The 13,044-nt window shown below is 46.4% G+C and overlaps 1 protein-coding gene and 1 long non-coding RNA gene across 3 annotated transcripts in view, besides 1 other annotated feature; one reads left to right on the plus strand and one right to left on the minus strand.

The window, feature by feature from the left end:
* The window catches only part of KCNC4 (potassium voltage-gated channel subfamily C member 4), a 73,767-nt gene extending 66,888 nt beyond the window's left edge, over positions 1 to 6,879 (plus strand). Inside the window, exon 3 of one of the 2 annotated variants that reach the window (XM_047419679.1) lies at positions 5,333 to 6,879. In XM_047419679.1, coding sequence (XP_047275635.1) covers positions 5,333 to 5,611 — 279 coding nt within the window. In that variant the 3' untranslated portion in view covers positions 5,612 to 6,879. The remainder of the gene's footprint in view (positions 1 to 5,332) is intronic. The other variant, XM_006710625.5, reaches the window with a different exon arrangement.
* A 2,294-nt stretch (positions 6,880 to 9,173) lies between these two features.
* RBM15-AS1 (RBM15 antisense RNA 1) overlaps positions 9,174 to 13,044 on the minus strand; it is a 52,797-nt gene continuing 48,926 nt past the window's right edge. Inside the window, exon 4 of the long non-coding RNA NR_036595.1 lies at positions 9,174 to 11,370. This is a non-coding gene — a long non-coding RNA (RBM15 antisense RNA 1). The remainder of the gene's footprint in view (positions 11,371 to 13,044) is intronic.
* Positions 9,609 to 9,658: an enhancer, noted in NCBI's record as "active region_1466". NCBI's record gives its function as "activates an Ori minimal core promoter by ATAC-STARR-seq in GM12878 lymphoblastoid cells {active_cell/tissue: GM12878}" and the evidence as "EXISTENCE:reporter gene assay evidence [ECO:0000049][PMID:35858748]".

Genomic DNA, 13,044 nt, shown 5'->3' on the forward strand with positions numbered 1-13,044 from the left:
GCCAAATGCCTTTGAAATCACTTGCTTTTTAGCTGGAAATGTGAAATAGCATAGTGGCAGCAGGTCTTGATGCCCTCATCAGGAAGATAATAGAAATGTAATGCTATTCCCTGTGTCACTTTTAATGCCACGGGCAACTCTGGGCTCTAACAAATTAGCATTGGGAAGTCCTTTTCTTTAAGAAAGAAGAAAATAAGTTTTATTGGTGAAATGGACAGCCCACCACATTTCTTATTCCATCACCTTACCTGTCCCTGAGATAGCTCATCTGCTACCAACCTTGGAGCTCTTCCTCTCTAGATGAAACTTAGGGCCTTCGTCTTCCTTCAATACCAAGATCTATAAAGTCTGACATTCAAGTCAGTGGCACTGCCATGGGAGCTGAGAGTGACAGTGCTTCTATCTCCAAAACCTGGTACACGCTGTTCTAAACCAGATTCCAGGAAGGTCGGAGTGGGAAGTAACATCATAAAAGGCCCCAGACCCAGTACCCCCAGGAGAGGGGACAGAAGCAGAGCCCTCCTCCAATTAAATGTAGGCTAACTCTAAAAGGTTTTATATAGCTGTGCAAAAGTTGTATGATCTCACTAGGTGCAGATTTATAAGACCCTTTCTTTTTGTGTGGGGTGTTATTAGAAGAATTCTTGGGCTGGGCATGGTGGCTCATAGGCCAGGCACACTGGCTAATGCCTGTAATCCCAGCACCTTGGGAAACTGAGGCAAGATTGCTTGAGCCCCGGAGTTTGAGAGCAGCCTGCGCAACTGGCGAAACCCCATCTCTACAAAAATACAAAAAATAGCCGGGTGTAGTGGCATATGCCTATAGTCCCAGTTATTTGGCAGGCTGAGGCAGAAGGATCACCTGAGCCCAGGAGGTCGAGGCTGCTGTGAGCTATGATCGCATCACTACCCTCCAGCCTGGATGACCGAATGAGATCCTGTTTCAAGAAAGAAAAGGAAGGAAGGAAGGAAGGGAGGGAGGGAGGGACGGAAGGAGGAAAAAAAAAAGAGAATTCTCCAGGGAGAGTCACCAAAGAACATACTAAATGTCCCTTGGGCAGATCACCTTTCTGGACCTCAGTTTCTTTATCCATAGATTGAGATGATATGAGTCAATGGTTTTGAACCAGGGGTGACTTTGCTTCCTGGGGACATTTGGTAGCATCTGGAGATGGAGGTGTTTTGGGTTGTAACAATGAGAGGGAGTATGCAGTGCTACTATCATCCATGGATGCTGCTGATCAGCCCCCAATGCACAGGCTCTGTGTGCCCCAACAACAAGCAAGTATTTGGTTTAAAATATCAATTGTGCCAAGGTTGAGAAACCCTGGAGTAGATGATTTCAAAGTTCTCTCCCACTTATAAGAATATCTTCCCTTTGGTGTGAGTATTAAAAACCCACGTGAACATGTATAATTGGGATCCCTGAGTTTTAATGGCAAGGCCCAAAATTTATTTCAGGTACCAGGAAGGTGCCCTGCTTCTGTGCCTACGTCCTGAACTCACCTTCCTAGCCAAGCAGACCCAGGGCCATCTGCTGCAATCGTATCTGTCATCCCGGGGTCAGCAGAACACCCATCATCATGGAAGGCATTCCCAGCTAGAGAAGCTTGATGGGAAGTGGGGACAGAGGTATCACTTGTCACTGGGCTTTTCTCACTGCCAGGTTCCTCTCATTATCTGGTGAACTCTGTTCCTGTCTGTCAGCATGCCACTCAGGGGCCCAACTGCAACCTTTCTTCCGTCTCATGTCTATTTCTTTCCTCTTCTGGGACTTAGGTCTGCCGGCTCTGAAGACTCACCTTCCCCAGGGGTGGGGAAGCTCTTCATCACTCCACCCACCAGGCTTGGATTCATAGTCCTAAAGAGATTCAAGTTGTGGGCTTTTCTTCCAGGATATAAATGCAAGGAAAGGCTTGATGTGCATATCAGTGGAACATCTGTGCCACTTCTCTTTCCTGCACCCATGGCAGACATCACTAATCATCACAAAACCTTTCCCCATTGAGCTGGAGCATGGCTAAACATGGCTCTCTACAAAGCCACTTCCAGTTGATAGAGTCGGCATTCTGATTTTAACCAACTCGCCATCCTGTTCTCTGAACCATCCAAGTGAAGATAATAAGGGTTGGGAGAGATAATGAATGAAATGAGATTCTCAACTAGATTGTAAGTTCCTTGCGGGCAAGGGCAAGTTCTGTCTCATTCACTTGTCTGTCTCCAGTATACACAGGAGAGACCCAATAAACATTTGTGGAATGAATGAAGAGCCTCCCATGTGGTCTCCCTGAGATGCACACTCCCCACCTGACTCCCTAAAATTGGAATGGACTCCAATTCATAGCTTTCCATCTGGACTAATGCTGGATAGAGTGATCCTGGGAAAGGAGAGATTTGAAAGAGCAAAGATGATATAGTGAGCTCTGCTCTCAGATGTAAAAGGGGAATGCAGGACTGATGTTTTCCATTATTCCTGAAAGAGTGATAATGGCTATGAGAGAGAGCTTTGAAAGAATCTGGTACCTGTGTCACTTCTCCATGTTAATTTTTTTTTTATTATCCCCTTCCTGGTTCCCTGTGGGCTTTAGGAATTTTTTTTTTTTTTTTTTTTTTTTGAGATGGAGTCTCACTCTGTTGCCCGGGCTGGAGTGCAGTAGCACGATCTCAGCTCGCTGCAACCTCCACCTCCCGGATTCAAGCGATTCTCCTGCCTCAGCCTCCCCGAGTAGGCACCCGCCACTACGCTCAGTTAATTTTTTGTATTTTTAGTAGAGACGGGGTTTCATCATGTTGGCCAGGCTGGTCTCAATCTCTTGTGATCCACATGCCTTGGCCTCCCAAAGTGCTGGGATTACAGGTGTGAGCCACCGCACCCGGCTGGAATGTTTAGGCTATCATTTATTGAGTGCTGTGTTCCATCAGCTTTGTAAACATTGACCCACTAGATGATCACAATAGGTTGGTTCTCTTTTTAACCATTTCGCAGAAATCGAGGCACAGAGAGGTTAATTACATGCCTATGATGGCCAGCTAGAGGGCGACTAAGTTCAGGTTCATACCTAGGCCAGTGTGCCTCCAAAGCTGGTCTTTGTAAAGCCCTTCAAACAGAGAGATTCTGCGTGCTTGTGCTTGGTGGCCACAGGGTGGGAGGAGATTGTGCTCTGTCTCCCTGCCAAGGTTGAAGACTCTGGGGGAGGGAGTGGCAATGGGAGAAGCTAAGGGAAGGTGTCTTCCCTGAGACCTTAGGGAAGGCGGAAACAAGTCCCGTGAAATTGGCCTGGATAGGAAACAGGTCCTCAGTCTACAACTCTGCGAAACCCCTGAGGACAGAGGCCCAGCTCAGAGGCCCAGGTGAGTCTAGCCTGGTCCGCTGCCCACAATCCCCTAATCTCCTGCTACACCATCGCCTAGTTATCTACCCCAACATTTGGGTGGCCAGATTTAGCAAATTACAGGATGGCCAGGTAACTTTGCAATTCAAATAACAACAAATTTTTTTTCAGTATAAGTATGGCATATTTGGGACAAATACTAAAAAATTATTTGTTGTTTATCTGAAATTCATATTTAATTGGGTGTCTTGTATTTTATGTAGCAATTCTATCTACCATCCTTGGCCACCTCCCACACCATCCCCTGGTCTGCTGCCTTGCTATTCCCAGTGGAAATTCCTGGCCCCACGTAGACCAAATTGCTGTGTCACATTCCCTACCCAGAGCTGCCCAGTGATCTTTACCCAGCTTAGTTTCTCCAGGAGCCCTCCTCGAAGCAAACAGTTGCATCCCTGAGGACAGGACCGTGAGCATCCTGCCCCAAGTCACTCAGATCCTCCTGGGGGTATTAGGTTCAGGCTCCCTGTGGTGGTGGTGGTGGTGGTGCGGGGGCTTCTGGATAGCAAGGTAAAGAAGCTAATGAGACAAGAAACCTTGCCTCATAATTTGGAAAACTTCATCACTTCCCTGGCTCTGGGCCAAAGCAATCATTTTAAGGTGCTTGGAGCGGGGAAGGGGGACTGAGAGGAGGGTGGTTTGCTGTGGGTTTCTCCTCCCAGACTTGCCAGCTGCAGACAGGATATGGTTAATGAGCTGTGGAAGCAGAATTCACCCAGGAAATGATGTGGGGCCACCCTACACCTGTTTCCAAAGGCTGTGGAGCTCCAGGCTTGGAATGAGTGAAATCTGAAATCTTACTACCTATTTGGGGGCTCCCACTCCTCTCTTCAGACATAAATACAGAGATGGGAAAGGACTTGACAGGAACCCATGGACTGAGGAAGATAGCAATGGGGGCGGGAAGGGGGAAGGGGAATTAGAGGAGCTGTGCTTTCTTTATCTGACTCCCCACATATGTAAAAACACACACACACACACACACACACACACACACACATACTGCACTTACAGCTCAGGAGCTGGGGAGCTGAGCTCTCATGCCTATTCTGTGGCTCATGGTGAGCCAGTTGCTTCCCTTGTCTAGGCCTCAGTTTGCTCATCTATAAATTTTAGGAGAAGGGCTAGAATCTCTCCGGCCCAGCCTGCAGAGGTCCAGGAATTTGGTATCCCCACCTAAGTATGATCTCTCTGAGAGCAGGGACTTGGCTTCAATCTCATGGATGACTGATCACTCAGAACCCAGCCAGCCTCAGGGAGAGTCCAGCAATGCTGGCTTCTGCTGCTGCTGCTGTCCCTAGACCTGAAGACTGGCCACAAAACCAGAGGCATTTCCCAATGTGTGAGCCGGGGCCTTCCCAGGCTGCGCTGGCAGAGGCTGCAGGGGAACCAGGAGCCTAAATTCCCAAGCAGGCAAATTACCCACTGAGCACCCTGCACCCTAGTGCCTAGGGACCAGTCCAGGAGACAGGGCAGAGGAGGACACATCTGCCAGGTGGCTCCCAGGGTCCCACCCCCGAGTCATTCTCATACTCAGTGCCACTGTTAATGCCTTCCGCTTTAGCTTAATTAAGCCATCTGCCCACATTAAATGGTAAATTATCTCAATCACTCCCTGGATCCCAGAGGGGAGAAAGAGATGAAAGGAAAATGTCATCCCTTGAGTGGAGCTGGAGGACTCTGCCCCACCTGTGATGACTTCTCCCTCAGTGAGAGACAGCCTCCAGTGTTTACAAATCCTTCTGTGTCCTTGAAAATCTAACTCCACCTGTCATCTCTCTGCTTCTTTCTCTTCCTATAGGGAGGAGCGAGGCTCTTACATGTCTGACCATGGGTAGGAAAAAAGATGAGAGCTTTTCTGTTTTTCCTCTACCTTAGGGGTGCTTGAGTGTCTGTAATGTTGCTCTCTTCCAATAAGCCTGTTATTTTTGCACCCCTGTCAGCTCTCAGTTCTGCTGAGGAAGCACTGTGCTCCCACTGAAGTGACCTGTGAACACCACTCTGCTCTGCAGGCATGTGGCCAGAGGCTGGAGGATGGAGGGATCTCATTACAGGCATCTGTGGGTAAGTGGGGAGGTGTCTCCCAGGGTAGAAGCACCTTCTTCGAAGGGTTGCTGTGGACCAGGGGATGGCCCTTGCTTGGCTTTGCAGTTCCAGACATTGGATTTATAAGCATGCTCGTAGTTGTTCAGGTTCAAGAACCATTGACTTACAGTCACTAAATCCCTAAGAGACTGATGAACCTGAGTCCAGTAAAAAACTGGGAGACATGACTTAAGAGAGATTGACTCACAGTCACTAAACTTCTAAGAGACTGAGTGTCTTGGTTCATTTTGTGTTGCTATAGCAGAATACCCAAGGCTGAGTAATTTATAAAGAAAAGAGGTATATTTAGCTCATGGTTCTGCAGGCTGGGAGGTTCAAGAAGCATGGTGCTGGCATCTGCTTGGCTTCTGTGTGGGCTTTCTTGCTGCATTAAGACATGGTGGAAGATCAAAGGGGAAGTGGACATGTGCAAAGAGGTAAATTTCAAGGAGTGTCCTGGTTCTATTAAAGCCCACTCTCAAGGGAGCATTCCTGTGAGAACTAGTTCAGTCTCACAGAGAGCAAGCGCTGACTACCACCAACCATTTATGAGAGATCTGTCCCCACCTGTCACCGGGCCCCACTTCCCAACACCGCCACATTGGGGATCAGTTTCAACATGCATTTTGGTGGGGTCAAACTCAAACCATAGCACTAAGGAGCCCACGGTAAATGTAAAATGGTGAGTATTCCTACCAAGTATTCCCTTTTTGGTACCAAGCTTACCCAGAAAACTAATAATCAGAAGATTGCTTACTGAGTTCAGAACAAAGAGACATTAGGTCAGGGGATAGGAAATTGTGATTAACGATGTCTGGTCCAGAGCCACTTGTCTCTCTCAGTGGAAGTGGAGACACACTGACTGGTTGTATTATTTGACTGCCCCTTTTCTGGACGCCTAGCAGACCCAGATCTTCAGTTGCCCTAGGCTTCCTTCAGTCAGACTGGGGACTACTGACTGGGCCCCAGCTCTCTTTAGCTACGTTTAGTCCTGACGACTTTTTTTGGACTTGGGTACTTCCCAGTCTCTTCATTATGCATTTACAAAGCATCATTTAGAGTGGGTCTTTTCTATGAATTGTTAATGCTTAGCTGTTGTACTTTCTTGAAAATGACTGAAGTCCCAGGTTCTGTTAATCTCTTTCTGTAGCTCCCTAGCTACACAGTTATTTTATGAATCATAAGTCATGCCCCCGGATCTCAGACAGACTTCATATGCTATTTCAGGGCACATTGGGCTTCTGCTGAGGCATCACTAAATGGAACCACTTGCTAACTGTGTTACTTTGGGCACAACACTAAGCCTCCATGAGCCTTGGTTTCCTTGGGATAAAATGGGGATATTAATGATGATTTCACAGGGATACAAAGATCAAGGGAAATAGTCAAGTGTTATATCTTGATCATGTATCAAAATGGGCTGTGACCTCCTTACAGTGACTGTCATCAGTCAGAAGCCTCAAGGGATGCTTTCCCAGACAGAAATAGTCTTGTGAATATGCTTAATTTGTTTATTCACAAAACATTTATCAAGCACCTACTGTGTGACAAGCATGGTACTTGCAGTGAGAGAATAAATTTTCTTAAATGCTGAAATAATTACTTTACCGTGAGAGGTGAGGGTAGTACATTGACAACTAATATTGGGAACTTATTGTGTGCCAGAGAGGAAACTGATTGCAGGTATCATTTTATTGAAGTCACACAATAGTCAAATGAGGTAGACACTTTTACTACTCCCATTTTGCAGATTAGCACACTGAGCTAATCAAATTCTTTAAGGTCAGACAGCTTGTATATGGTATAATTAGAACCCCGATCTGAGTGGCTGCAAAGATCATGCTCTCAACTAAACTCCAGAGAGGGATAGATTACAAGTGCAAAATCAAGATTGGTACAGATTAGACCCTCTTGCACTGTGTGTGTGATTTTCTTGCATGGTTATTAAATGTAATGTGTTGTATTCAAACATGACTGTGAGTTTAAGGCTACAATGTTTGGGTGAGTAAAAGGAGTATCTCCTTCAATAGGGTGAATAGTGATGAAAGAGCCCATAATGGAGACAAAGAGGATTCTCAGACTAGAATTCAGGAAGCAGAGGGAATGCCCCACGTAGGTGTGGCCTCCTGGAAAGTTAAGTGCAAAGGCAGCATCCACCACTTTGAGGTAAGCAGCAATCAGGAAGTGGGAAAGGGGCAGTGGGCCAGGGAGACCTGCCATCTCTCTTAATAAGATCCCAGACCTCCAAAACCAGCATATAAGGGGACCTGGGCCTCACTGCGTCCAACCCAGGGATTCATACTCCCCTCAGGGATGTTCTGACAATGACTGCTGCCTCTCTCATTGGGCTTCACGTCTAAAGGTCCAGCCCTTCTGTCTAAGGGACAAAAGATTGTCTTTAAAGCCTATTGCTGAGTGGGCAGGGTGTCTTGAAGTCATGTTCTATGGTCATATTCTATTGCCTGCATTTATTTTTTCTCTGTTATTCCTAAGCCTTTAGTCAAGTCTCATGTAACTGGCCCAGCCTGATTTCACCAGACAAAAGGAAAGGTCTTGTGTTCAGGCTCTAATTGGAGCATTAAAAAGATTGCAGGCTCCCTTCAGCTTTGTGGAGAGAATGTATTCCAGGTTAGAGTGTCCTCTGCATCCTCATCAGGAGATATGCTGGAATGGCCTTGTCACCACAAGACTGCCACGAAGCTTGTGAAGTTCACGGAATCACTTTAAGGCCCCAACCCACCCTCGGGCCCCAGCAGCTGATGCCCTTGCTCTCAGATTCCCATCATGGTTCCAGGTGGTGACTATTACCCAGTACCATACGTTCCAGACTGTGCCCATCTCAGGAGCCAGCTTGACAAACTCATCCCTAGAGTTTGTCAAGAATGCAGAGCCTTGAGCCTACTCCAGACCTCCTGAATCAGAATCTGCATGTTAACAGAGGCCAGATGATTCAGAAGCACATGGAAGTTTGAGATGCACAGATCCAGGGCAGGAGCTCTTAATCTGGGCCCATGAGCTCAATGGGGGAAAAATAGTATTACGTCTTTATTTTTTTATTTTTATTTTTATTTTTGAGACGGAGTCTCGCTCTGCAAATTTATTCTCTCACTGCAAGTACCATGCTTGTCACACAGTAGGTGCTTGATAAATGTTTTGTGAATAAACAAATTAAGCATATTCACAAGACTATTTCTGTCTGGGAAAGCATCCCTTGAGGCTTCTGACTGATGATAGTCACTGTAAGGAGGTCACAGCCCATTTTGATACATGAACAAGATATAACACTTGACTATTTCCCTTGATCTTTGTATCCCTGTGAAATCATCATTAATATCCCCATTTTATCCCAAGGAAACCAAGGAGTGCAGCGGTGTGATCTCGGCTCACAGCAACCTCCGCCTCCTGGGTTCAAGTGATTCTCCTGTCTCAGCCTCCCAAGTAGCTGGGACTACAGACACACGCCACCATGCCCAGCTAATTTTTTTATTTTTAGTAGAGACGGCGTTTCACCATGCTGGCCAGGATGATCTTGATCTCCTGACTTCATGATCTGCCCGCCTTGGCTTCCCAAAGTGCTGGGATTACAGGCGTGAGCCACCGCGCCCGCCCACATCTTTATTTTTATCAATCACTAACCAAACATTAGGATTTCCTTCCATTTTGGATGTAGCTTGCAAATCACAGACGTATTCACGATACTTTTGACTTTGTCACCGATAGAAATCATGGATATTTTTGTAACACATTACAGTTGTTTTAGACATCTCAAAATAGCATATATATTCACCACTACTTCAAAATAACAATAGCTATTAGATATGAAGTTATATTATGCTATATAATAGCAACCAAACTTATTATATCACAAAATTTGAAAAATATTTTTGATAAGGATTTCAAAGGACATGACTTCCCTTATTATCCCATGTGTTTTACTTTCTGCATTAGAAACTTTATTCTGAGAAGGGCTCACCAAGTTGCTGAGGGATCCATTACACTAAAAAGGCAAAGAACCTCTGCTCTAAGAATCACAGCAGGGCCGGAATAGTGTTTGGAGAATTTCAGACATGTGGGGTGAGCATTACTTAATCTGGAAAGCCCCAGAAGTCACATGTCCCCGCAGATAGGCAGCCTTCAGAGCAGACCTGACTGGCAGCTAGAGGTCTGCTTCAATGGCTTCTTCATTCTCCCTTCATTAAAAAGTAGGTTTGATAAGGCCCATGCTAAGGAATAAAACCAAGATTCCAAGTAGGGAAGATTGCTCTTGTCAGCCCAGCAAGAAAATCAGCGACCCAACTGAAAGAATATCAAAGATTATTCCTTTTATCAGCCCCTGTAGCCCCTGTCAATTTCCCCGCAGTAATCCACAGAAAAACACTTAAAAGGAAAATCACCTGTGTGCCTGTCTTTAGGGGCAGAAAGGAAGGAGCCAGTAGGGACACCAGCTGCCTTTGCAGCCGGAGGGGTGAGGAGAGTCCTGGGGAATGAGAGTGGGTGGTGATAGCTTTAAAAAGAAGATCCTGGCTGGGAGCGGTGGCTCATGCCTGTAATCCCAGCATTCTGGGAGGCTGAGGCGGGTGGATCACCTGAGGTCAGGAGATCGAGACTAGCCTGGCCAACATGGTGAAACCCCATCTCTACTAAAAGTAAAAAAATTAGCCAAATGTGGTGGCACACCTGTAATCCCAGCTCCTGGGAGGCTGAGGCAGGAGAATCACTTGAACCCAGGAGGTGGAGGTTGCAGTGAGCCGAGATAGCGCCACTGCACTGCACTCCAGCCTGGGTGACAGAGCAAGACTCCATCTCAAAAAAAAAACAAAAACAAAAAAGAAAAGAAATCCCTTTACACTAGGCATAAGGAAAATATAAATAAATAAAAATAAAAAGAAGATCCCATGGTAGGGGAGCAGCATCCCTAGACCTGAGGGAATGGTGGGGGTGTCTGGGTGAGATGTGACCCTGAGGCCAACAGCAGGCCTGAGCTGGTTGGTCCCCAGAATTCTCTTGAGGAGAGGGAAGCGGCCACCCCTGAAAAAAGCTCCTCTGGCAAGAGTGTAATGGAAGGGATAGCAAGATCAGGGGTCAGTGCTTCTCCCTGGCTCCTCAGCTGGAGGCAGGGTGGGTACAATGAGCCATTCCAGGAGCTGGGATGGACCAATAGCCCTGTGCTCTTTGGGGGCCTTGAAAACATGGTCCTATAGGGCTCCTGGCAAGATGCTTTGGGCCAACAATGGGGCTCTCTAGGGTAAGACTAACCTCGCGCTGTCCTTTATGAATAATGATAATAACTTCACAAACTGTTTAATATTTTAGACTTTTCAAAGTTGCCTTAAGGCAACCTGATATGGTAGTGGAAAGGGACCAAAACTGAAATCTACTTCTGCCCATGAAAAAGAAAATAAAGAAAGCCATAGCCAAATTTCTTTGGCCCTCTTGAGCTTCAGTTCTTTCCATCTGAAAGGTGGGGATAATAATAGCTGAGGAACCTGCTCAGTGATTTGTGTGCAGATCAAATGGCGCATGGGCACGAAAGATGAGGGCTTTGCCATGGAAGTGGAAGGTCCTGTTTCATCTGAGCACTGTCACCTCCTGTATGAGTTTCCTAGTGCTGCTGTAATAAAGTGCCACAGTCAGTGGCTTAAACCACAGGAATGTATTGGCTCGCTGTTCTGGAGGCTGCAAGTCCAAGACCAAGGCATTAGCAGGGTTGGTTCCTTCTGAGGGCTGTGCTTCTTCCTTTGCTTCTAGTGGTGGGCTGGCAACTGTAGGAGTTTCTCAGCAAGTAGAGGCATCACCCTGATCTCTGCCTTCATCTTCACATAGTGTTCTTCTTGGTAGGGTGTCTGTGTCCAATTTCTCCTTTTTATAAGGACACCAATCATACTGGAGTAGGGGCCTACCCAAATATAATAAGACCTTATCTCAACTAATTACATCGCAACAACCCCATTTCCAAACAAGGCCATAGAATGAGGGAGGGGTGGGACTTCAAAATTTGAGTTTGGGGCCAACACAATTCAGCCCATTACACTCTGTTAGCCCATTGATGCTCCTTGGCCGTGGGGAGCCCAGAACACACAGGTCAGGTACAGAGGATGGAGCAGGGTGGAGAAGTTCCAACTCTTCTAGGCAGATTCTGCTCTCAGATGAATTGAGGTCTTCCACCACTTCTTTTATTAAGCACTTAAACTTTATTAAACATCTACATTATGCCAGATATAGAGAATATAAAATGAATAAATTATTGTCCTTAACTTCAAGGGAAAAGAGAGACAGACATGTAAACAAATCATTGCAAGGCAGCATGATTCACACAATAAGAGATTTATGTGGCAAAAAAGACAGAGTCCAGGACAGGATTGTCAAGGAAGGCTCCTAGGAGGTGGTAACATTGGAACTAAATATTGAAGACAACTAGGGATTTTCCAGGCAGGCAAAAGGCAGAGACATTTCAACTAGACTGAAAGCACCACAGCACAGAAGTGTAAGAGCCTGGCTTGAGTAATAGTTTGGCTGGGCTAGAGATGGGAGCAATGGGAGACAGAAGTCAGAGGTAGGTTAGGGCCAGGTTAAGGGGGTTATCCACCACCCTAAAGAATGTAAACTTTAGAATGGAAATCCTATAGGACCGCCATGGAAAACTTTCTATGCTGTAAGTTCTGAAAAGTCAATGATCTCATTGGTTGTGGGAGATGAGGCCAGAGTACTAACATAGCAGACACTCAATATATATGCAACAAACACATGAATGAATGAAAGAGTGAATGAATGAATGGTTTTAAGCAGAAGAGTGGTATGAGAGTCATAAGAGTAGGGTGCATATGGAAGCAGATAAACACAGTCAGGATAATTTGCTGTATACCAGGCAAGTGCTGTGAGGGCCTGAATAGCCTCCAAGAAGAGCAGAAACACATGGCCTTCAATGGGATGGGAAAGGGGGGAAAAGGTGAAACTAATGGTACATCTGTAGGGGTCTTAAGATGGGATTTTTTTTTTTTTTTTTGAGACAGGGTCTCACTCTGTTGCCCAGGCTGGGGTGCAGTGACACGATCTTGGCTCACTGCAACCTCTGCCTCCTGGCTCAAGCAATCCTCACACCTCAGCCTCCTGACTAGCTGGGACCACAGGTGCGCCAAGAATACAAAAATTAGCCACCATGCCCAGCTAATTTTTGTATTCTTTGTAGAGATGGGGTTTCACCATGTCACTCAGGCTGGTCTCAAACTCCTGGGCTCAAGGGATCCTCCTGCCTTGGCCTCCCAAATTGCTGGGATTATAGGTATGAGCCACTGTGCCTGGCCTTAAGGTTTGAATTTGGAGGAGTTCCTGCCCCAGACCTCAGCCATCTCTGGGGTGCTACTTCCCGAGGGAAAAGAAAGAAGAGGCTGTAGGAGGCACTCTTGCTGAGAAGCACTGAAACCAGCAAAGAGCAGGAGGAGCCAAGAACAGAGCTCAGCTGCCCCAAGGCCAAAAGGAAGATAGATGCCCAACTGTGGGCCTGAGCTAAGCTTGGGGAATTTGGAACGCAATAGAAGGAAAAATGGGGCTACAGCGGGTTGAATAGTGTCTC

This window comes from Homo sapiens, chromosome 1 (assembly GCF_000001405.40).
Source record: "Homo sapiens chromosome 1, GRCh38.p14 Primary Assembly".
Taxonomy (NCBI): Eukaryota; Metazoa; Chordata; class Mammalia; order Primates; family Hominidae; genus Homo; species Homo sapiens.